This window comes from Homo sapiens, chromosome 9 (assembly GCF_000001405.40).
Source record: "Homo sapiens chromosome 9, GRCh38.p14 Primary Assembly".
NCBI lineage: Eukaryota > Metazoa > Chordata > Mammalia > Primates > Hominidae > Homo > Homo sapiens.
The window spans coordinates 97,355,372-97,379,949 of NC_000009.12; the positions used below are offsets into that span (position 1 = coordinate 97,355,372).

The window sequence follows — 24,578 nt, forward strand, 5'->3', positions numbered from 1 at the left end:
TCTTGAATTCCTGGGCTCAAGCGATCCTCCTGCCTCAACCTCCCAAAGTGCTGGCATTACAGACATGAGCCACTGCGCCTGGCCAAAAATAAAATCTTAATAACTGCTAGTGTTTACTAGTTATTGAGCACCATGCATCCTGCTAAGCAACTTATTTTGATTAGCTGTGTTAGTCCTCACAAGAACTATAGGAGGCAAGTACTGTTTTTATCTCCATTTTAGAGATAAACTGAGGCAGTATTTTAGTGACTTAGGTAGGAACACAGAGCTCTTAAAGGGTAAAGTCAAAATGTGAACCCAGGTCTGACCGACACCAGAGCTTATGGCCTTAACCACAAACAGGCCATCTGTGCAACAGAAGGAGAAGGTGGCTGCGTGGGGATTGAGGGGCCAGAGGACTTAACCTGGGCTAAGAAAGTGGGGATTCCAGAGGCTTGAGGGAGAAGTAGGAACCAGCCAGGTAGGCGGTGGGGAGTGAAGCATTCTGGAGAGATGATGGAGAAAATCCAGGGGGCTGGAGCCCAGGACTGCAAGAGTGTGAGGGAGAGTGGGGAGCTCTGTGGTTGGAGAGCACCAGCGGGCAGACAGTGGGGGCCTGGGAAGGGTTCGGGTGGGGCTGTGTGCTCAGGGCTGCACTTCGAGGGTGGGGGTCCTGGCTGCTGACCACAGAAAGGCTGGAGGTGGGTAGGAGTGAGGCAGAAGTGTGAGGCTGATGGGGAGAGAATCATGGCCTGGGCACAATGTCAGCAGGGACACATTCTGATTCCAGAGCTGAGTGGAAGTGGGATGGGAGGGACTTGGGGTACACTGGAAATGAAGGGCCTGGGTTATCTGCATAGGTCAATGCCCATTCAGGGAACAATGTTTGAGGGCCCACTAGGACTAGGACAAGCCGAGGTGAGGACAGACTTGTCTTTTGGGAGTGGCAAGTGCAGTTCGATAAAAGAAGTGTTTGCTGGCATCTCACGCTCTGAGATAGGGACTCCAGACCCAGCTTCCTGCCCATTTCACCCCAGGAAGCATTTAATTCATCCATCTGTGAAATGGGAATCATAAAAGCAATTCCTAATATTATGGCACCGATAAAGGAGCTGATATGTGCTAAACTCATGACATAGTCCCTGGAGCATAGTGAATCCTCAGTAAAGGCAGGCTCTGGTGGAGGCCCCAGATGAGCCTCTCAGGACTGGCTTCCAGTCATTCCAGAAGGAGCAGGAGGCAGCTCCAGGGAGCAGAGCCCACGGCTCCAGGGCATGTCACCACACTCTTGTTTGAGGAGTATATTCCTAATGGGCCTCCAGCTGGTGCTGGCACTGATTCTTTTTTCTGAGCTAATATCTGGGGACTGTTCACAGTGTACAGGGGTTGCATTTCAAAATATCTAACACCTGTGATAAACAAAATACATTTCCATCATGGACAATACTGGGAATATAGAACAAATACAAAACAGAGAGTAAACCATAATTCTGCCACATAGCATAACCCCTGTTTAAGATTTCAATTTATTTTTTGAGTATTTTTCCTATACATGAAAAGATGGGGATATGCCAAAATTGGCTGTTTGCTATTTATACCAGTTTTATAAGCTGTATAATCTTTAAATATTCTGCAAAGACACTATTTTGATGGCTTCTCTGTCATGGATGTGTTGACATTTTTACTTAAGCATTCCTTTCTGGAGGAACATTTGGTGAATTTTGCTTCTTGTTATGAAAGGTGATGCTGTGAGAGGTGCACTTGCCAGGACAGTCTGACTGCATCCTTCGGACGCCTCCTGGAAGCCACAGTCCTGGGTCAGAGCATGACCTTTCTACGGCTCTCTAAGCTTTCCAGGGAGTTTTTACAGCCTTGGCTCTGCACTGCTGGAGCAGAGCCTGTGCACTTGCCAGGACAATCTGACTGCATCCTTAGGGTGCCTCGTGGAAGCCACAGTCCTGGGTCAGAGCATGACCTTTCTATGGCTCTCGAAGCTTTCCAGGGAGTCTTTACAGCCTTGGCCCTGCTAAAGCAGAGCCTGTCCTCCCAACTCCCTCACCACACTCTGGGGTGCCAATTTTGCTTGAACCTTACTTACTTGAGAGGGGAAAAAAATCTTTTTAATTTGTATCAATGTCTGGTAAAACTGCATATTTTTCCCTGATTTCATTTTTTTCAGTGCTTAATCAGTTTCTCAGATGGTATGTTTCACAGAATGTTTCCCAGATCACAATATGTATTCTAGAAACAAAATCTCGGAACCTCTGGTTTTCTAGGTGGCAAAATCCAATTCGCAAACAAATGGATTAAATTTCTCTCTGCAACAGCTTCAGAACAAGATAAAAACTTGTCAAGAGTCCAGGGGAGAGAAAACCGTAAGTGTTCAATAGATTCTGCATGTGAATAATAAAGATATATCATGCTAAAGTCATAAATGTGAAATAAATTTACCTGTGTGTATAGGATTTCTCCAGCACAAGGTTGGCGGGGTGGGGGGACATCTCTGAGCCTTCCTACTTAACCCCTGTTTCATGGAATGAAGAAAGGAACAAAAGAGAAAGCAGCCACTGTTCACCTCCAACCCCTCCCAGGCAAGCATGGAGCAGCGTCTAGTGTTGGGGGAGGCCTGAGTCTGGCTTCCTCTGACCTCACTCCCTTGGGATGTCACCAGGTGTCCCTTGCTGTAAGGAGAACTCAGTCCTAGATGCATGACAGAAGCAGGGCCCTGCCCCCTGAACAACCACTTTTTGTTTGACTTTCCACTTGCTTTTTTTTTTTTTTTTTTTTTTGAGACGAAGTCTCACTCTGTCACCCAGGCTGGAGTGCAGTGGCACAATCTCAGCTCACTGCAACCTCTGCCTCCGGGTTCAAGTGATTGTACTGCCTCAGCATCCCAAGTAGCTGGGACTACAGGCACCTGCCACCATACCCGGCTAATTTTTGTATTTTTAGTAGAGACAGGGTTTCACCATGTTAGCCAGGCTGGTCTCAAAACTCCTGACCTCAAGTGACCCGCCCACATCAGCCTCCCAAAGTGCTGGGATTACAGGTGTGAGCCATCGCATTCGGCCTCACTTGCTTCTTTTGATCGTAGCACAGAAACTGGTTTTCTGTGTTTAAAGTATGAAAAGTCAGAATTGGAACAGTTTGTGGAGAGCGTGGTTCCAAGCGTTCGCCTGGCTCTGATCCTCAGAGCAGGTCTCTGGTTGTCTATGTGCTGCTTTTTCTGCCATGAGTGCACGACTCTGTCCCCCAGTGAATGACAGCACACCCTTCAATGATGGGGGACATCGGGAGTTCTCTTCCTGGATCTACGGGTTCAACTCCGGGCAAATGACTTAAACTTGCTCAACTCAGTCTCCCCTGGCCTGTCGCCCAGGCCACACCAGGGAACCATTCCTCAACAGTCCAGCCAGGTGCTCCCAGAACCAGACACCCCAGCCTGAAGGTTCTGGAGTGGGAAGCTTTCTCCTCACCGTTCTCTGTCTTTTCTCTACCATTTCAGTGACTCTGAGTTGCAGTTCTATTATTAGCACTGAGAGGATGTTTATTTTTCTGTCTTTATTGCTTTTTCTTATATAGTTTATTGCATGACTCTTGAAAAAAGCGTAAACACCCACAAAGCATAGTTTGCAGAATAAATGTCCCTCTCACTATTCTCATTTTGCACAGAGGCACTGTAAACCCTGTTATGTATATGCATGCACTTGTTTCTACACATCCACTGAGATTACTTGCCCTGCAGTGCAGTTGTGCAGAGGAAGGGTGGCTCCTATATTTTGCCTGTGACTTGCCTGATCTCCCTTATGAGCCCCCTAATGAGGAGCAGGGGGAAGATGAGGTTAATCAGCTGTAACTCTTCAACAGGCTCTTTAAGGCAGCTCTACCTCTCCAGAACAGAAACGTCCAGTCTCTCACATCCTCGCCTCCCAACCCCTGCTCTGTCCTCTCCTGTTAGGGTGTTGGGTGGGTGCCAGGGGCTTGCCCAGCCTCCCAGCCAGGTGAGGATCATGTGAGCATGGGTGTGCGGGCATTCCTGTGTTGACAGAGGAGGCTGGCTGGACAGTCTGCAGAGCGGTGATTAGGGGACAAGAGTGATGCCTTGAATGTGTGGCGAGAGGGAAGATCCTCACCGTTGCATTCCTGCACACCTGTGGGGTGCTGCTCCGAGAGGGTGCGTGTTAGACATTGCCATGGAGGTGGCCAGATCACTCTCCTACACACTCCTGCACACCCTTGCCACCTGCGTCAAATGTTTCCTTCTAAACATAGAATGTGAGAGCCAGAGGAGATCCTAGGGAATATTTTGTGTCCCCATCTTACAGATGGGGAGAACAAGTTGAGCAAGTTTAAGTTATTTGCTCAGAGTTGAAACTGTAGATCCAGGAAGAGAACTCCTGATGTTCCCATCAGTGAAGGGTGCGTTGTCCTTCACTGTGAAGTGAAGGCTGCCTAGCAGAGCCAGCCCAGCCTTCCCCACTCCCCAAGGGCCTTCCCTGCATGTGAGGAGCCTCCATTAAGCCAAGAGGTATCCTCATCAGCCCAGCCCCTGTTCCCGCACTTCCCACAGAATCTACCCACCCTCCTGCAGTCTGCTTCCTTGGGGCTTTCTTCCTCCCTTTTCTCACCAGACAGTGACCACAGAAGAACTCCTCAGCTTCGTCCAAACTTGGAAGGAAAAACTGAGCCAGAGGATTCAGTACCTTAACTGCAGCCTGGACAGGGTGTCCATGACTGAACTGGTCTTTACCGTAAGGAATGGGATAGGGTGGCAGGAAAGGGTGGGTGAGCTGTTGTCTGGGCTCCCAGGAGACCTGCAGGGCTCAGTAGAGCCAAAGGGAAGAGGGGACTCCCAGGCCTCCGCGGGACATCAGGCTTACTGAGATGCTGTGGAAAGATCACAAGCTGTGAAGTCAGAGCTGGATTCTAATCCCCAGGGGGCCACTTCCTTGCATTGGTCTCAGAGGAGACCCCTCAGCTCCTGGCACTACCTCACCTGCTCCATCAGGACCCTCACTCACCCTATCCACGGAATCTCAAGCCAGTCCCACCTCTCAGCCTCTTCCTTCCCACCTGCACCCAGGGGCAGCCCTGGCTTCTCCCCATGGCACCCCCAACACCTCATCCAGACCCCTGCCTCTTGCCCACCTGATGCCCACATCCTCTCACATCTCCCATGGTCCGTTCCCCGAACATGGCCAGAAGAGGCTGGTCAGACCATGTCACTTCCCTACCCTCGGGGCAAAGTCCAAACGCTTTCACTGGACACACAGCAGCCTCCACGGCTTGTCCTCCATGCCTCTTCATCCCTCTCACTCCGCCTAAGATGTCACTCCCCACCAAGCCTCCTCTCACCTCCTGGTCTGGGTCGGGGTCTCCCGGCCCATAGCACCTCCCACTTCCCCACACGATGGGGTCTCCATTTCGGTTGCTGTCTGCCCTGAGACTGCAAGCCTCTATGGGCAGAGCCTGCATCACCCCCACCCCTGCCCACACCTCACATTGGGCTGAGATGCTCAGCCAACTTCCAGGGAAGGGCCTGACAGCCAATGTCTGCAGAGTAGAGCACTGCTAGGCCCTGCTCTCACCACCAAGCCTTGACCAACCTTCCTTCCATGGGGAGGCCCTTCCCACCATGCAGCCAGCACTAGGCATCCATCTCCCTCTGGTGGGGTGTCCAGTAGCATGGGGCTCCAAGGGTCTAGCGTGAAGGTATTGAGTGACTAGGAGACTTTGAGTGAAGGTCTCCCAGGACTTCACTCAAGGGACTGACAGGCCATTGCTAAGATGAGACTCAGAATGAAACAGAGAACAGCCTAGGTGCTCACCATGGGCGCCAATTCCACACTTTCTCTAGGAGCCTGCTCAAGGGGAGCTGACCACTCACTCAGCCTGGCATTCACTCCTCCATCCATTTGGTCAAAAACATTGACCGGGCACATCTGCAGGTCTAACTTCAATCTCACAGAAGATACTGGAACTTTTCTTTCACAGCACTGGTCCCAGTTTTGGAGAAGCATTTATTGGTATAAGTGCAAGTTAAATGTCTGTCTTTTCTGACTAAACCACAAGCTCTGAGACAGGAGGGATCATATATGGCCTCTTGGCCCCTGTGTTCCTAGAACATGGGCAGAGACTTGTGAAGAGCAGGCACCCGGGAAAATTTCTAAAGGCATGAATAAACGGATGAATGAATGAATGGCTCTGTAAGGGAGATCACTTTACAGAGGAGAAAATAGTGGCTCAATGAGGTCAGCTAGCTTGCCTGCAGCCACTCCACTGAGGCAGGGTGGGAGGGAACATGAATTCGGCCTGCTGCCTCGCTGGCACCTGGGCTGGTCCTTACACCCTCAGGCCCTTCTCTCTGGCCTGCAGAACACCATCCTGAAGGACCAGGAGGAAGACAGTGACATCCTGACATCTTCAGAAGCCCTTGAAGAGGAGGCCAAGCTGGACGTGGTCACCCCTGAGTCCTTCACCCAGCTGAGCCGCGTGGGGAAGCCCCTGATTGAGGACCCAGCTGTGGATGTGATCAGGAAGCTCCTGCAGTGAGTGGCCCCAGGGTGCACCTAAGGCTCTGCCACCCCTGCCCCTGGCCCTGGACCTTCAGGGACCAGCTTTGGGGCCCCACACACTGGGGTTCCCACGTGAGTCCACCCCTGAGAGCCTGTGACCTCAGGCAAAGGGCTTCCCCACCCAGAGCCCCAGTTTCTCATCTGAAATGGGGCTCGTGACAGGACTGACTGACGTGGCGCTGAGGACTAACTGGGATGCTGCTCAGAGCCTGGCCTGAGCTACCCCCATGGTCACCGGAGAAGAGCTCACACCCTTTCCTTTGGTTTCAGACTTCCCAACACAAAATGGCCAACCCACCATTGTGACAAAGATCCGTCCCAGACAGGTAGAGGCGCATGGGCCTGTGGGTCTCGGGGCAGCAGTGAGGCAGGGGCTGGTGGTGCTGTGTGCTCACCTCCTGTCCTCTGCTCCTGTCCTGGGCCCTCGTCACCCAAAGGCTTCAAGCGACATCGGTGCCAGCCAGAAAACTCTGGGAAGAAGGCTGTACCCAGTGCCAGTGCTACCTCTGCAGGCAGGTAGGACACAAAGCAGCCAGAATCGCCCCTTCCCAGTCCATCCCCCCACACAAAGGCAGGAGATGACCTATGGCTTTCCCAGGCTTTTCCTCAGAAGGCACCACAATGCTCATGGCTCTGGGACTCCACGGGGCGCAGTGAGGGGTGAGCGCCATCCTTAGTTTGCTGGTTGTCCATGGTGCTGATGGATCTCAGCCGTGCCACCTTCCACACACGGTCATGGTTAGAAAGACGGGGCAGATGGCTTTCCTGGAGAGACATCACAGAGCCACAGAAAGAGTTCTGGGCCTTGGCGCCCTGCCCACCAAGCCTCAGTGGGGTTGTTAGACTCAAAGTTTACCCCACATGCATATTTTATGGAAGGTGCATATCAGAAGCCCCATGGCTGAGTAGACTCACTAGCTCTTTGTGTCAGCCTGGTTGACATGGGTTTGTTCCTGGTTTTGAGAAGGCAAGGGGAATCCCTGCTTTGCCTTTCCCTCCAGAAGGTCTTTTTGAGCATGCGTGCTGTGTGCAATGGGGAAAGAAACAAAGACCAGCCACATGAGAAGAGCAAAGGCTATTGACTCAGAGCTGACCACAGCAGGGAGTCAGTCACCATCCAGGGTGTTTCAGCAGAGCTCCCAGGGCAGGCAGAGGAGTGGGAAGCATTGCCCTCCTCTCCAGCTGTGCGCTGGTTGGGGGCTGCTGTCATGAGGAAGCTGGAGGTTGCCCACTGAAAGCAGGGCATCCCACGTGATTGGTTACGGGACATGTTTGGCTTTCTCTGGTTGGTCCAAAGTTGGAAATGAGGACAAAAATTAGGGAAGCTGTCATTTATTAATTAAGTCCTGGCCATTTGGGACCTACTGTTATAGGTGATATTGTGTAGCTTCCTGGACTGTCCCCAAAGATGACAATCTCACTTCCTGCAAATCTGACTTAGAGCAGGCTGACTTCCTGGGTGGCTTCTTGGAGATAAGGTGGGGGTGGCCTTCTGGGTAGGTTGCTGCACATCATGGGGCAGAGCTCTATTTTTTATATGATCCAGCCATGACCTGTTTACATGTTCAGTCTCTGAGAGGTTACGAAACAAAGTCCATGTCACTAGGGCTGCCAGATAAAAGAGAGGGTGCCCATCTACACTGGAATTTCAGATCAACACCACCTAATTTTTTAGCATAAGTATGTCCCAAATACTGCATGTGATACACTAATGCTGAAAATTACGGTGTTTATATGAAATTCAAGTTTAAATGGGCGTGCTGTATTGTTATGGCTAAATCTGGCAACCCTACCTGTGGCTCAATGTTTTTTTTTCTTTGGGTCCTCATCACGGGGAAGCAGGAATGCAAATTTCTGGGCCTGAGCACCTCCACCCCTTGCCCTCTCACAGCAGCTGTGGTTGGGTTTCAGCAGTTAAGGTGGTTAAGATTTCACCTTACGGTAAGGTAGACTCACAGCTGTTGAGAAGGGAAACGCCCCAAAGGGCTAGGCCCTAGAAATGGAAGTCCGGTTGCCCACGGGCAGGCCCAATGCCTCCAGAAACCCAGGCAGGGATCCTGCAGGCTCAGACCTGCCTTGCGTCTGTCCACAGCCTCCAGACCACCCACCCACCTTTGTCCCACAGCTTCACACCGCACCCCAAGCCCAACAAAATGGAGAGAAAGTACCGGGTGCTTGGGGACAAGCCTCCCCCTGCTGCCGAGTGAGTAACAACGCCTTTCCTTTTGACTGCATTTAACCTGTTTTGGGTTGCAGGGGCAGCAAATGTGACTCAGCTGAGGGGAAAAATCAGAAAGGGGAAAGGCAGGTCCAAGCAGAGGAGGGGTGAGAGGAGATAGCAAGGTCAAGGTCAGTTTGTCTCAGCCCATTTCACCTAAATTTGTTGAGAAACATTTTCATCAACATTTCACATTTTCCAAGCTAACAAGCATTTCCTGGTGGTAGGGCAGGAGACCCCATTCGAGGTCTGAACTTTTTTTTGTAATTTTTTTCAGTGCTTTCCCCCATTTCTCTTTTCCTTTATTGTAACTCCAGTGATTAAAACAAAAGCTGTTCAACTTAGTATAGCTTCATTGCAAGCAAACAAGCAAAATTCCAAGGTCAGAAAACAAAAAGCCTTCGGAGAAAGTCAAGCACCACAAAGGAGCTCCCACTCCCACTATGTCAGAGATCCCCCCAGACAGCGGCCCCCTCTCATCAGCCCTCTCACCCTGGAGACCTCGTCTCTGGGGGTCATGAACTTGGCAGAGAAGGATGGCTGTGACATCAGGCAACCCAGGTGTGGCCTCCAGCTGGCAGGTAGACAGTTCCCTCGTCCCACACCCAAGGACGCTCCTGCACCCTGAATACTTCGGCTCTCTATTTTTTATAGCTCGATGCAGGAGGATGTTTGGTCCTACATGAAGTCCTGTTCATTTGATTACTATTTAGGAGTAATCATTCTTTCAGCTAATCGAGGCACTGCCCGGTACAGGCACTGCCATGGGGCTGGGGATTCCATGGTGAACAAGTACAGACAGGTCCATGTCCTGTGTCAAAAGATAAACTCAGGCACATTAAAATGTTGATGAGTTTATTTGAACAGTCAGTCATTCATGAATTGGGCAGTGCCAGACCCCAGGCGGTTCAGGGATCCACCGAGGGAACACCAGGGGACACCTTTTATAAGGTGTTTATAGAAGGAAGGCAAAGAAAATATTTGCTTGGTTAAAGTGAAAAGTTCCAAGTTGGCTATTTCTGATTGGTTAAGCTTACATTTCATTTTCCTAGACTATGACCATTCATTCTGAGTTACGTTTGTTTTCTAGCTAGAAACTCCAGGCACTGGAACCGTGTCAGCCTGATGGCCTCCTGTTTATGATCTTAAACACCTGGTGGCCTTTACAGTCTGCTGGGAGAGATGGAGGTTAATCAGCCAGTCACACAAATCAATCCCAAATCCACCTGATTAGCATGTCATAAGGCTGAGGGGGCATTAATCCAAGATCATTAAAGCCAGGTGGTCAGAAATTGCAGCTGAGCTGGGGTCTGAGGAAGGGCAGGAACAAATACAACCAAGAAGAGAAGAAAGTTAGCTGCTGTTATGGAGTGGAATCAGAGTGTGCAGAGGTCCTGGGGCAGCAGTGAGTAATTTCAAGGAGTGTCACGGCCAAAACAGAGCACTTGGAAAGTTCTGTTCATGTGGTTTTGTCCATGTTTGTGTGTCTAGACCAGGCCCCTCAGGGATCTGTCTCGTGTGTGTTGCAGGGATTTTAAGGGGATCATCTTGACCCTCCTCTGGGAGAGCAGTGAGAACCTGCTGACAGTCGCAGAGGTGAGGACCACCACCCATGGCCTGTGCCTGCCCTGGAAACCACGCCTGCCTTCTGCAGTCTGCTGATCATGGCCGCTTGGGGGAAAATGAGGAAGAGAGGATTCCACCCCCGCCATGACCACAGCTCCCCAGCTTCTGTCACCTCCCTATGAGTTTTTTTCTTTGAGAAACCAAACCTCATTCATTCATCTAATTGATCACCAAACATTTCTTAGATATCAACTGCATGTCAGGTACTGTGTGTGCCAAGAGGAACAAGCCCATCCTCTGTCCCCAAGGCACCCAGGCCCAGTGGAAAGCTGACAGACCTGGCGGGGGCACAGAAAGAGGTGGGGCAGTGGGACCAGGCACCAGACAAGCTGCCCAGTGCCCTGTTCCCACATGCCCTGCACCGTAGTGCGAGTGCCTTCTCCTGTCTGCCTCCCACGGGTCTGTCTGCCTCCTTCAGGGCAGGGTCCCTGGCTCGCCCGTCTTTGTGGCCTGCAGCCTATACCCAGCTTGGCACTTCCTTGTAAGCTCCCAACCTGGTCACCAATCTGAGATTCCATTGATTTGGGTCTTGAAGGATAAATAGGATTCTTGCCAGTCACTCATTCAGGAAATAACGAGGGCTGGCCATGGCTCCACTCACTCCAGGTGGGCCCAGGGAGGCGACACGGGCAGACAGGGAAGGAGGAGTGTCTGCTCGTGTCACTTCCACAGGGGATGCCACGAGCAAAGGCTAGGGAGTGTGGAGGTGAGGGCAGGCTGGTGGATCCCAGGAGCAAGGGCCAGAGTCCCATGGAGTCCTCACCCGCACATGGTCACCCTCTCTGGCAGGAGTTCTACCGTAAAGAAAAACGCCCAGTCACCAGGCCTGACTGCATGTGTGACACCTTTGACCAGTGCGCCGAGAACATTAGCAAAAAGATCCTGGAGTATCAGAGCCAGGCAAATAAGTACCACAACTCCTGCCTCATAGGTGAGTATAGGCAGCAGGAAGGCACGGGGAACAGGGCGGGGCGCGAAGCCAGTGGTGGAGCTCGGCCTTGGCCTTGTGGCCTGGATCCTCCCCTCTGGGGGAGGCAGAAGAGCTTCCCTGTGAAAAGCTGACCTCTTAAAATTAGGTAAAAACAATAATCAGATTTTACTGGGGAAATGCGACCATGCAAGAAAAAAGTTCACTTTTCTTGAGAAATATGGTGATTTGTACCTCTAAAAATATTTTGTTTCTTCTACAGATATTTTTGACAGCTTTGTTGAGATACTTGGGTACCATAAAATTTACACATGTAGTGTACTCAATGTGGTTTTTAGTTTATTTACAGAGTTATGCAATCACCGCTACCGTCAATTTTAGAAACCCCATCCCCTAACCCCTCCCCAGCCTAAAGCAACCACTAATCTACTTTCTGTCTCTATAGACTTCCTTATTCTTTACTTTCATGAGAATAGAATTGTATAGTATGTAGTCTTTGGGACTGGCTTATTTCATTTTGCATAATATTTCAAGGTTTATGCATGTTGTAGATGGTGCCAGTACTTCATTCCTTTTTATCAATGAATAATATTCCATTGTATGAATCTATCACACTTTGATGTGGTCTACTATGCTGTTTCAGAGGCCCTCTGGGTAGAAGGAGGAGAGTTCAGGGGATAGCCAGAACTGGGCCAGGACCCAGCCCCACCACTTCCCAGCTGTATTACCTTGGCCAAATGATCTCACCTCTCTGAGCCTCAGTTTTCTATTTTTTTTTTTTTTTTCTGAGACAGAGTCTCACTCTGTTGCCCAGGCTGGAGTGCAGTGGCACGATCCGCAATCTCGGCTCACTGCAACCTCTGTCTCCTGGGTTCAAGAGACTCTTCTGCCCCAGCCTCCTGAGTAGCTGGGACTACAGGCGCATGCCACCATGCCTGGCTAATTTTTGTATTTTTAGTAAAGACAGGGTTTCACCACATTGACCAGGCTGATCTCGAACTCCTGACCTCCAATGGTCTGCCTGCCTTGGCCTCCCAAAGTGCTGGGATTACAGACATGAGCCACTGCGCCCAGCCAGAGCCTCAGTTTTCTTGTCTGTGGACTGCAGATATTAATAACACCCACCGCAGAAGGCCTTCTTGAGGATTAAGTTCCTCACACAGACTTGGCATGTACAGGGAATTAAGCAGCGATAGTGCTCATAGCTGTGGTTGTTGAATGACTGGAATTGAAACTACAGGCATTGTTTTGTTTCTCTAGCTCAGAATTTCCCCCAAGTGATCTCTGGGGGATCCCATCCTACATGATTGTCCTCAAAACAAGGGTTCCATGGTCAAATGGGCTTGGAAAATGCTACAGACTGCACCCCTCTCTGGTAAACTCACAACTAGTGAAGACTTCTGTTTCCTGCAGCTTGGCAGGCTAATGGGGGATCCATTCTCCTACTAAAAACATGTAAAATGCTGCATAAAATATTTTTGTAATAAAATATTTTAAATGCATTAGCAAGCTATCTGTAAAGTGAGAAACACACAAGAGCCAAAAATTAAGTGAAAATAGAAACTCTGAGTGATAAATTGAGTAGTAACCCTGGTTATTGCCCTAGGGGCATTTGCTGACTCCCAGGTGAACTTGAGCCTCTATTTTCATGGCCTCCAGGGTATTGGGAACAAGAGACAAATCCACAGACCTCCAAAGTGGGAAGTCTAAAAGGAGCAAGCCACCTATAGCTGGAACCCAACAGGGCTTCCTGAGTAAGGCAAATGAGACGGAAACCAAGCTCCTCCCTCTGTCCCTCCATAAGACAGAAGGAAACTGTCTTATCAAAAACCATGGTACTGGGTGAAGAAAAAAAACTCCAAAGAGAAATCCAGAACTATATGCCAGTCCCTGTGTGGTTTCTAAATTTATGTTTAGATAATTCACACTTATCTAAACATGAATTCAATTTTGCTTTTGTGGCTCATCCAAAACACCTCCAGCTAATACCTGAGCTTAAAATGATCTTGAGTTGGTGGTGTTCAGAAGCTTGCTTGTTGGACATATAACAAATTCTCTCTAGGAAAATCTATCTTCAGTTCAGGCCTCAAAGGATTCCCACAAATAAAATGCCCAGACTAAGAGCTCACAGTAATAAACAAAGAGCAACAAAATCCCCATAAACACAAGGAAACAAAATGCCTTGAGCAAGAGGCAGCAGGAGACCAGCAAAGACTTGGCAGATATTAAAAGTATTGGACACAGAACATAGAATAATATACTTCTAGTTAAATAAAAGAGGGAATTGGAAACATGAATAAGAAGCAAAAGACTATGAAAATGACCAAGCAGCTATAAAAGAGAATAAAATAAAACTTTCATGAAGGAAAAATTAAGAGTTGAAATTTTAAAACTATGCATGACTTTACTACCAGGTTACATATAGCTGAAAGTAGAATTGGTGAACTGGAAGGCAAATCCAAAGAAAATAACCAGAATATAACACAGAAATATAAAGAGATGAAAATATGGGAGAGAGGTAAAGGGATGTGAATGAAAGAGCAGGTCTAACATACGGCCATTTGGAGATACAGAGAAAGAGGGAGACCTAGAATCAAGGCAATAGTTGAAATAATGGATGAGAACTTGCCCAAAATGCCAAGAGACACAGTGCATTTTAAATGAGATGAGAAGTCCGCAGAGTATATAGGAGAAGCCCTTTGAATTTATTTAAGCCTTTATTTTATGTTATGTTATGTTATGTTATGTTATGTTATGTTATGTTATGTTATGTTATGTTAGAAAGAGGGTCTTGCTCTGTGGCCCAGGCTAGAGTGTGGTGCAATTATAGTTCACCATAGCCTCAAACTCCTGGGCTTAAGCAATCCTCCCACTTCAGCCTCCTGAGTAGCTGGCATGTACCACCATGCCTGGCTAATGTTTAAATATTTTTTTAGAGACAGGGTCTTGCCCAAGCTGGTCTTGAACTCCTGGCCTCAAGCAATCCTCCCACCTCAGCCTCCCAAAGTGCTGGGATTACAGGTGTAAGCCACTGCAGCTGGCTAACCCTGTATTTTCTATACTGGTTTGACCTCAGGACCTCTTTTGATGGAATAGCTCTTACCACGTTGGAGACCAAGATTTTCTCTTTGGGAAGCTGCTTTGGGCCTTTGTTGTAGAGATCGCCTCTGCAAGTTGATTCTAATCTGTTCCCTCCCTTGGCCTCTTACCCGCACTTCTGGCAGAATTACGGATCCAGATCAGGAGATTTGAGGAGCTGCTGCCCCAAGTGTGTTGGCTGGTGATGGAGAATTTCAAGGAACACCACTGGAAAAAGTTTTTCACCTCTGTGAAGGAGATCCGAGGACAGTTCGAGGAACAGCAGAAGCGGCTGGAGAAAAGAAAGGTGAGGGCCCCAGGACCAGCCCTTCCACTCTAGGACCAGGGGAACTGGGAGTTCAGAAATGGTGGCAGGTTGTGGGCAGGGCCAAGTCCAAGGGAAGAAGGTGAGCTTGGCTTGGGATTTTTGGATGGGGGCTGAGGGACAGGAGCCATTGGCGAAATAAGAACTGAGCCAACAGCTTCTACATAGAAGGTGTTCAGTAAACTCCTTGTTGGCTATAATGGGTGGGTGTGCTGGGTTCCGTGGGGCTGTAGTCATTAAGACAGCAATAATTGTCCACACTGGTCCTTGGAGCTGTGGAACATGGGTACTGCTGATTTCACTGGACTAAAACTCTGATTGTGCTGGGCAGATGCTCAGCCTTTTCTCTTCCAAACCCCCGAGTCAGCTCTAGCCATGCCCCCCTCTTAACCCCTCTGCCACTCTTCTGCCCACCCATCACCCCCACACACCCAGGTCAGAGGACATGAGTCTGGCCATAATCATAATTGACAGAAGACACAGGTCAGTGACTTTTGGTGGGTTAACATTGCCACTGAATTCTGGATTGTTTGATTAAAGGACAAAAATGCCCAGAAGCTCCATCTAAATCTTGGACACCCCGTACATTTCCAAGAAATGGAGTCTCTACACTTAAGTGAAGAGGAAAGGCAGGAAGAGCTGGACAGCATGATTAGGATGAACAAGGAGAAGCTGGAGGTCAGTGATACCATTGATTCGCCAGTCCAGGCATGCTCCAAATATAGCCCGATGGACAGCCACTGACAGTGCCAGGTGCAGCCCTTTCTTGGTATCTTGCCCAAAGCAGGCATGATCGTGGTTGGGTTTTGTAGGTAAAAATGGCCATTATTGGCTGTTTTAACTTGTATACTTTTTTTTTTTTTTTTTTTTTTTTGAGACGGAGTCTCGCTCTGTCGCCCAGGCCGGACTGCGGACTGCAGTGGCGCAATCTCGGCTCACTGCAAGCTCCGCTTCCCGGGTTCACGCCATTCTCCTGCCTCAGCCTCCCGAGTAGCTGGGACTACAGGCGCCCGCCACCGCGCCCGGCTAATTTTTTTGTATTTTTAGTAGAGACGGGGTTTCACCGTGTTAGCCAGGATGGTCTCGATCTCCTGACCTCATGATCCACCCGCCTCGGCCTCCCAAAGTGCTGGGATTACAGGCGTGAGCCACCGCGCCCGGCCTAACTTGTATACTTTTTGACTTCTAAATTAATTAATTACAAAATTACTGACGATAACTTTTATTTAGTGATCCATGTCTAGTTTTATTTCCTCTTCTGTGAATTGTCTGTGTGTGTCCCTTGGCCGTTTCTGAATCATTTATTATGTTTAAACCAGATCACATCTTGGGAGAGGCCTCCTGGCTGAGGGCCAGATGCTGGTTACTTGGACACAGTGGATATAATGGCTTGGGTCCCCAGATCTCCCTGCAGAGTTCACCCATCCCCTCTTCAGCTGGCCTTGGAGGGATGATCCTCTCCTAGCAGCACTGTGCTCACCATGTTTTTTCCAGGAATGTACCAGAAGGAATGGCCAGGTTTTCATAACCAACTTGGCCACCTTCACCGAGAAGTTCCTACTGCAGTTGGATGAGGTGGTCACCATTGACGATGTCCAGGTTGCAAGTAAGAGGCACCACCAGCCTTGTGTCATGGCCCTGGGGGGCTGGTGAGGGCTAGGTTGGGCAGGGGTCTGCTTTCCCCAACTCTATCAAAGTGAAAACAAGTGATCCATTGAGGGGACTGATTAATTTTTGTTTTCCTTAAAAATAATTTTTTGATTAAAAAGCAAATGCCAGATGGCTCAACGTTTATATATAAAAAATGAAACCCTATTAAGTAAACACTCCCATACTCTTGGGGTTAGGGATACCTTTTCTAAGTATGACAGGAGAGCTAGAAGCCATAGAGGGAATGGCTGGCTCTTTGTAGCCAAAAAAATCCCGAAAAATGTCAAAAGATGGAAAGACAAACCACAAACTGGAAAAGTATTCCTCACAACTTACAGATCAGAGAAAGGGTTAATATCCTTGTGGTACAAAGAACTCTCACAGGTCAAATTTTTAAAGAGACGAAGGACAAACACATGCTCTTCAAAAGAGAAGCAGTTCATATGGCTAGTCACTGTAAAAAATGCTCAACTTCACTGATGATGAAAAATGAAAATCTAAGCATTATTTAGATATCATTTCTCACCAATAGCCTGGCAAAGTTTTTACATTTGGTAACAACGTAAAAGAATGTCAAGAAACAGAGACTCTGCAGAGACTCTTGGTAGAGCGTACATGGATACCGCTGTCATAGGGAACAATTTGTCAGTCCCTGTCAAAATTCTGAGTGTGTAGACGTTTGGCCTAGCACGTCTAATTCTAGGAATTTATCTGAGAGAAATACTTGGACACTTTTTCAAAGGTATATGTTCAAAAATGTTCACAGCACTGTTTGAAATGGCAAAGAATTGGAAGCAACACTAACATTGATATACAGAAAATTCAATGGGCCAGGCACAGTGGCCCACACCTGCAGTCCCAGCACTTGAGAGGCTGAGGTGGGTGGATCTCTTGAGCCCAGGAGTTTGAGACAAGCCTGGGCAACATGACAAAACCTCATCTCTACTAAAAATTTAAAGATTAGCTCGGTGTGGTGGTGTGCACGTGTAGTTCCAGCTCCTAGAGGTGGAGGGCGGTTGGGAGGGTGCTGAGGTGGGAGGATTGCTTAAGTCTTTAAGTCGAGACTGCTGTGAGCTTTGATCATACCACTGCACTCCAGCCTGGTGAGAGAGCAAGACCGTGACTCAAAAATAACGAAAATTGGATGCATAAATGAGGGTGCCAGATGTGCAGGTAAATACCACACAGCTGTTAAAGTAGGTCTGCATGTGCTGACATGGAAAGACATGAAGGAGGGCTGTTGTGTGAAAAAACAAATGGACAAACAGGACATGTCTGTGATCCCATCTTTTAAAACACATGCATGATATCAACATGCATACTCACATCTGTTTAAATGAATCTGTGTGAGAGACAGAGACAGAGAGACAGGTACCAAACTGCTGATGATCACCTCTGCTGGGTGGGACTGAGAGAGATCCCTAAAACCTTTTTTCTCATCATGAAGTGATGTTTACATTTTTAATAATGTGCATATTACTTTTATAAATATAAGATTAAAATCATACATTAAATGTTATCCATTTATCACTGATCTATAAAGTAATTAAAATGCATCCTTTTTATTTGTAAAGGTTTTTAATTACAAAAACAATAAATGTTCATTCCAGTAAAACAAGAAAATCAGTATAAACCAAGAAGCAAGTGAAGAACACAGTCCTTCCGCCCTGAAAGCAGCGCCCTTTGCACTTGCTGTTCATCCTGCCAGGCCTTTCCCTTTGGGCACAGGCCTGTGTGTCAGGGTGGCTGGGGAAGATTACAGGGCTTGGGCGCTTTTGCGACCTGATTTCCCTGCAGGTGAACCTTGGCTGGGCTGGCCAGTCAACACTCCTCCTCTTCAGCATTTTCAGTTGCTGCACACCATAATGTAATAAGCATTGTAACTTACTAATTAGTCCCTTTGCTATTGAACTTTGGACCATTTCCAATTTCCCACTCCTGTAATTGTGCTGAAGAGAATCTCTGCATCCATGCATCTCTAGAGCAACAGACTCCTAGAAGTGCGATGTCTGGATCAAAGTGTGTACAGATTTTTGAAGTGTTGGTCACTTTTCTCTATCAGAGGTCTCTGTCAAAGGTGAGCCTTGTTTGGGAAATCAGCGCCTTGCAGAGATGCTGGGGTCGAGACCCCAGGGAGAACAGGCAGGTGAGCTGGTAGTGGAGCAGATCACAGTGCCTTGCAAGGAACCCCTGAGCCAGGAAGACTCCCTGCACCAGGCCCTAGGAGGCCTCTGCCTACTCTGCAACTCGGCTTCTGAGCCAGGCCACCGGGCCCTGCCATTCATGGCAGAGGAGTGTACATGTTACCTGCTGGCTCTCTGCACACAGAGCCCCCCACCCCCTCGCCCCTGATCTAGAAAGAACATCAGAGCATCAAAGATTGGATTATTGAGCTAGATAGTCAAGGGACAACCTTGAACGTGTTTGTTCCAGGGGAGGTTCTTAGTTCGGAACCCATATGAGCTAGCCTAAGCCAAAGAAGTCTCTATGAACCATATCCGGGGACTCATGGAAACTGCAGCAACGTCAGAGCATCAGGCTTGGGTTTGGAGCTGGGAACAGCACCCACACCACCGCTTAGATTCCTCCATCCATGACCCCCTGCCCCTGTCACCACCCCGAGCTGTGTGGCTGGTGCATTCAGCTTCTCCATGGAGAGGGCTCAGCCTGCCATAACTCCAAGTGGGAGGAGGGGTGCCAGTCCTCCCTTTTCTAAGTGTAATGCCAGGGGAAATCCCTCGATCTCAGGCTGTCGGTGAGGCTGCAGTCACTAGCCTGTCTTTTGCCTCTAGGGATGGAGCCCCCCAAACAGAAATTATCAATGCTCATACGAAGGAAACTCGCTGGGCTCTCCCTGAAGGAAGAGAGTGAGAAACCCCTGATTGAACGTGGAAGCAGGTGAGAACCAAGAGCAGCAAGGACTACTGTAAATGGCTGTATCTGCTGGGGGTGGTGCAGTGTAATGGTTAGGGGCTTGGACTCTGAAGTCAGACAGACCTGGGAAAGGCATTGTGTTCTGAGCCTTAGTTTCCTCATCTATGAAATGAGCATGGCCACTTACCTTGATATTATCAAGAGAAAGTTAAATGAGGTAGTACCTGGGGTGCCCCAGCACATACAAACAGCTCAACAGCTATTAGTGCACATGATAAGGACCCACCAAAGGGTCCCATGATGAAAGGGAGGCCTGGCTCAGTGGGGGACACATTCTTGGGTCACTGCTGGCATTGTGAGCCACTCCAGCTGTCCGTCATGTGTGAAGAGAGTTGGCAATGTGCCTGTTCCCTGTGCCCCAAGAGTGTGACTCTGCAAGAAGAAGCAGAGCAGTGATTTGCCCAGCTATGTTCTCAGAAGTGGTGTTCAGGGCATCATAGGAAAAGCATACCAGGCACTGGTGGCCACCGCCTGGCTGGCAGATCAGTGAGTAAACTGAGGCTCAGAAAGGGGAGCAACTTGAGCTGTGGCACTCCCCTTCCCCCCCCAGAACCCCAGACCGTGCACAGCAATGAGACCAGTGGGGGCTAATATGAAACAGCTTGAACAAGTGCAGCATTCACATTCAGTATGTTTTTTCTTTTCATTAAGATATTTAAAGCCATGATAATTTTTTCAAAGAAATGCTAAGCTTTTCCAACAGGGTTGGTAGGTGGATTATGAAAGATGAAGACAAGCCTGTGAGATTTTCACACATGTTTGTTTGTAGGAAGTGGCCAGGGATCAAACCCACCGAAGTCACCATCCAAAACAAGATTCTTCTCCAGCCAACATCATCGATTTCCACCACCAAAACCACCCTGGGCCACCTGGCGGCCGTGGAAGCCCGAGATGCTGTGTACCTGGTGAGACAGGGTGGAGTGGGCGTGTCCCAGGGAGCACAGCTCAGGTCGGCTGCCTTGGGAAGGGGGAGCTTCCCATCACCCGGCACCCAACATTTGGCTGGTGCAGCAGGCAACACATGTCAGCACACCCCAGAGCTGCAGGTCTCAACACTCAGGACAGTCACCATTCACAGGCACGAGGACATTAATGTGGGTCTGAGGCGTGATCCCAATGCTGTGGGAGCCCAGCTGAGGGACATCCCACCCAGATTAGGGGTGAAGGCTTTCCAAAGGCACAGTAGTGTCACAGCTAGGGAACATTGTCACCAGGCACGGAAGCAATGGTAGCCGTAGGCTCAGGGGGGACACAGCAGCAGGAGCAGTCACAGCTCCTGAGAACTTACTGGGAAGTACTTACTGAGAGCTTCTGCTCTTGACATGAGGCATCTCACTGAATCCTCCTAACAACTCCACAAGGGAGGTAAAATTATTATCATTTCATTGATGAGGACACTGAGGCTTAAAGAAACTTGTCCCTTCTATGCCACTACAGAGTGGCAGAGCCAGGATTTGATCCCAGTGCCTGTCAGACCCCCTGGGGACAGCCTGATGAGGAGGCTACACCCAGTTGCCACTTGAGGGACCTCTTGGCTTTGAAGATCTGTGGACCTTTGGTCCTGATGTCCAGAGAGAAACCTTGTCCTGCCCAGAGACCAGCTGGCCCCCTTACTGGGAGAGGCTGAAGTGCCCAGGGTCAGCCCTCCCCCAGCTTCCCCTCCAAGCCCCAGGCAGAGGGTGCAGTTCGGCCTGCTGAGTTCAGTGAGGGTGGGAGGCCTGGAAGGCCCAGCCTACCAAAAAATCGGGAGCCCTGAGCTCCCGAGAGGCCACAGTGTGGGACAGAGCTCAGGAAGGAGTGCTGAGCCTAGAGTCAGATAGACACAGGTCCTAGTCCCTGCTCAGCCTCCTTCTAGCTGGGTGACCCCAGGCCAGGCTCTGAGCCTCAGTTTTCCTGTCTTGTAAAATGGGGAAAACAACTAGGACTACCTGGTTTCTACCTGAGAAGTGACTTGGAGAACTCTTGCCAGTGCCTGGAATGGGTTAAAAACCACCTGCCAGCAAGTTACAGCATTGCCCTAGGGGAGAGGGTCCAGATGTCTCTCCTCATGTGGACCCCTCCTGCTACCTTCCTTCTAGAAATATTTAGCATCATTTGAGGAGGAGCTAAAGAGGATCCAGGATGACTGTACATCTCAGATAAAGGAGGCTCAGCGCTGGAAGGACAGCTGGAAGCAGTCCCTGCACACTATCCAAGGCCTGTATGTGTGACCCTCCGCCCCACCATGAATAAACACTTTCTTATACAGACTCCTTCCCTGTCCATCTACCTGCCTACCTACTTTCCGTCCATCCCTCCCTCCCTTCATCCCTCCACCCCTGCTCTGTGCCGGGCACTGTAGCTTTACCAGCGAACAGGACACAGCATGGTCCCTGCCCACGTGGAGCCCTCTTCCCATGAGGAAGGCAAGCATGAAAGGGGAATTCCACGTGGTTAGCAGGGAGGGTGAGTACCAGGAATCAGTCACTTCAAATAGGCACCAGAGCTTCAAAGGACATCACCTCCAAACAGCATGCTGGGCAGGGCACGTCATCTTGAAAAATGAAATAAAGGTCATGGGAAAATGATATTTTAATTTAACAGAATAAACAAGTATGGGTTATAATTGCAACTCTGCACTGGTTCCTAGACCCAACAAATAACTAATCCAATGTTGATTGGTATTTGTGCCACAATTTGTCTGAGCAAATTGCAATATTTTGGAAAAAAAAAAATCTTCCAGGCTCCTTTAGTCCTGTGTTGCCCAGATCATTCTCTTGGAGTCCTCCAGCCTGCCAGTCTCTTGTTCGTCAACTCTCTTCTTCAATTACATGGCGTGAGCGTACAGCCTTCATTTGTCGGTAGCTGTGTGTGTCATCTGGACAGGTTTCCTCAGCCATAGACCTAGGAGGCCCCAGCTCCCAAATTTCCAGCCCCTGAAAGCTGTGTGACCCTCCAAGTGCAGTTCCCTCACCTGGGGACACTCACTCTGCTCTCCTGGTTTGCTCCACCCAGTGAGGCCCTGCTTGGTTAGCTTGGTTAGCTTGGTGGCCTTTGTGCACTGAAGCCAGGAGAGTGAGGAGTCCCCTTCCATCAAGGCAAAAGCAATCTCCTGTTCTTTTCTGTGCTCCCCCCACCCCCACCCCAATGTGCTACCTTTCATTGCTTATTATTCCGAAAGGAATATATGCGCATTGTAGAAAAAAGAATTTATGAAACCAGCAAAAGGATAACTTTAAAATCCTGAGCCGGGCGCGGTGGCTCACGCCTGTAATCCTAGCACTTTGGGAGGCCAAGGCGAGCAGATCATCTGAGCTCAGGAGTTCGGGGCCAGCTGAGGCAACATGACGAAACCCCATATCTACTAAAAATACAAAAAGTTAGCCAGGCATGGTGGCACACACCTGTAATCCCAGCTACTGGGGAGGCTGAGGCATGAGAATCGCTTTAACCTGGGAGGTGGAGGTTGCAGTGAGCCAAGATCATGCCACTTCACTCTGGCCTGAGCAACAGAATGAGACTCTGTCTCAAATAAACGAATAAATAAATAATAAAATCCTGGAATCTAGAGACAGTCACTGTCCATAGCATCTTTCCATGTATGTGAGTTATTTTTATAAAATGGAATCATAACATGCATTAGGTTCCATAAACTGCTTGGTAAATGTTAACTGGATAAACCCTATGCCATATCCTTCAGTATTCATTTACATCATTGGTTTTCATACTTTTCTGACTCTGACCCACTGTATAAACATGTTCTAAACACACGGTCCTTGCACACATACACAACTTGAGACCAACAGGTCACAGGACAGCACTTAACCTTACTAGAAAGGCTGCTTTCTAATATTTTCTCCCTGCTTTTTAAATCCTAGCCCAGTCCACTAACTCAGTTCATGGCCCACAAAGGGGCTTTGATTGCAGTGTGGGACACTGTCATTTAAACAGCTGCAGAGTGTTCCCACTGCCTGGGGAACCAGATCGCCTCTGTCGGACAAGGGCGAGGATGTCCCATGCAGGGCTCCTAGAAAGAAGGCAGAGATGACATCCTCCCACATTAGCTCTTTGTACACATCTGTAATCATTCCTTAATCAGAGGGTGGCAGCTGTGGACATGGTGCCAAGTCACCCTCCAGGGAAACAGGCCACCCCCTCCCACCATTAAGCAGTGCCCATTGCCCATTGCCCATTGCCCATTTTTCTCGTCCACACCAAGGGTTCTAGTTTCAGGATTTGGGGGAAATTTTTTGCTGGTTTGGTTGGTGAGAAATCATATCTAAATCACTTTTCTAATAGTGAGTGAGACTGGACTCTCATCACCCCTATACCTGTACCCCAGGGACCCCCTTAGGCTCAAGAGGCCCAGCTTGACAAGCACTGAAGGAACCCAATGCCACTTTGTCTACCTTTTGGCTACTGTAGATCCACACAAAAACTTGTTCATGACTGCCCGTAGCAGCACTAAAAAATAGTGCTGTTATATCTAAGACTCCATTGCCTAAAAGATAGTGCTGCTATGAGCAGTCATGAACAAGTTTTTGTGTGGATGCATATTTTCATTTCTCTTGGGTATATACCAATTACTAGGTCAAAAAGTAACTCTAGGCTGGGCACAGTGGCTCACACTTGTCATCCCAGCACTTTGGGAGGCTGAGGCAGGTGGATCACTTGAGGTCAGGAGTTAAGAGACCAGCCTGGCCAAGATGGTGAAACCTGTCTCTACTGAAAATACGAAATTAGCCAGGGGTGGTGGTGCACACCTGTAGTCCCAGCTGCTTGGGAGGCTGAGCCATGAGAATTGCTTGAGCCCAGGAGGGGGAGGTTGCAGTGAGCCGAGATCATGCCATTGCTCTCCAGCCTAGGCAACAGAGCGAGACTCTGTCTCAAAAAAAAAAAAAAAAAAAAAAAGTAACTGTATGCTTAACTTTTTGAGAAAGTGCCAGACTGTTTCCCAAAGTAGCTGTACCACTTTATATCAGTCTTGGCAGTATATAAAGGCTCTGATTTCTCCACATCATTGCCAAATCTTATTATTATCTGACTTTTGGATGATAACCATCCCAGTAGGTGTGAAGTTGTATCTCATTATAGTCTTAATTTGCATTTGCGATGACTAATGATGTTGAGTATCTTTTCATGTGCTTATTGGCCATTTGAATATCTTCTCTGGAGAAATGTATTCAAGTTCTTTATCAATTTTTAATTAGATTACTTTTATTATTGAGTTGTTAGAGTTCTTTATATATTCAAGCCACTGGACCCTTATCAGACATATGATTTGCA

The 24,578-nt window shown here is 48.7% G+C and overlaps 1 protein-coding gene, 1 long non-coding RNA gene and 1 other non-coding gene across 5 annotated transcripts in view, besides 2 other annotated features; 2 read left to right on the top strand and 1 right to left on the bottom strand.

Annotated features, from left to right (window-relative positions):
* The window catches only part of SUGT1P4-STRA6LP-CCDC180 (SUGT1P4-STRA6LP-CCDC180 readthrough), a 138,870-nt gene extending 116,946 nt beyond the window's left edge, over positions 1–21,924 (top strand). The window contains exons 36-49 of one of the 3 annotated variants that reach the window (NR_036527.1): positions 2,256–2,354; positions 4,611–4,730; positions 6,355–6,527; positions 6,825–6,880; positions 6,992–7,070; positions 8,647–8,757; positions 10,302–10,368; positions 11,188–11,329; positions 14,551–14,711; positions 15,270–15,407; positions 16,224–16,335; positions 19,172–19,277; positions 20,083–20,218; positions 21,392–21,924. This is a non-coding gene — a long non-coding RNA (SUGT1P4-STRA6LP-CCDC180 readthrough). Of the gene's footprint in view, positions 1–2,255; positions 2,355–4,610; positions 4,731–6,354; positions 6,528–6,824; positions 7,071–8,646; positions 8,758–10,301; positions 10,369–11,187; positions 11,330–14,550; positions 14,712–15,269; positions 15,408–16,223; positions 16,336–19,171; positions 19,278–20,082; positions 20,219–21,391 lie in introns of all 3 variants that reach the window. The other 2 variants (NR_036528.1, NR_036529.1) reach the window with 2 other exon arrangements.
* The window catches only part of CCDC180 (coiled-coil domain containing 180), a 71,415-nt gene extending 48,035 nt beyond the window's left edge, over positions 1–23,380 (top strand). Inside the window, exons 25-37 of the mRNA NM_020893.6 lie at positions 2,256–2,354; positions 4,611–4,730; positions 6,355–6,527; positions 6,825–7,070; positions 8,680–8,757; positions 10,302–10,368; positions 11,188–11,329; positions 14,551–14,711; positions 15,270–15,407; positions 16,224–16,335; positions 19,172–19,277; positions 20,083–20,218; positions 21,392–23,380. Coding sequence (NP_065944.3) covers positions 2,256–2,354; positions 4,611–4,730; positions 6,355–6,527; positions 6,825–7,070; positions 8,680–8,757; positions 10,302–10,368; positions 11,188–11,329; positions 14,551–14,711; positions 15,270–15,407; positions 16,224–16,335; positions 19,172–19,277; positions 20,083–20,218; positions 21,392–21,523 — 1,710 coding nt within the window. The 3' untranslated portion in view covers positions 21,524–23,380. The remainder of the gene's footprint in view (positions 1–2,255; positions 2,355–4,610; positions 4,731–6,354; positions 6,528–6,824; positions 7,071–8,679; positions 8,758–10,301; positions 10,369–11,187; positions 11,330–14,550; positions 14,712–15,269; positions 15,408–16,223; positions 16,336–19,171; positions 19,278–20,082; positions 20,219–21,391) is intronic.
* MIR1302-8 (microRNA 1302-8) lies at positions 8,183–8,310 on the bottom strand. Its single transcript, NR_031637.1, has one exon. It is a non-coding gene; the product is annotated as a microRNA 1302-8 (primary transcript).
* Positions 8,551–8,810: an enhancer, noted in NCBI's record as "active region_28658". NCBI's record gives its function as "activates an Ori minimal core promoter by ATAC-STARR-seq in GM12878 lymphoblastoid cells {active_cell/tissue: GM12878}" and the evidence as "EXISTENCE:reporter gene assay evidence [ECO:0000049][PMID:35858748]".
* Positions 11,885–12,054: an enhancer, noted in NCBI's record as "active region_28659". NCBI's record gives its function as "activates an Ori minimal core promoter by ATAC-STARR-seq in GM12878 lymphoblastoid cells {active_cell/tissue: GM12878}" and the evidence as "EXISTENCE:reporter gene assay evidence [ECO:0000049][PMID:35858748]".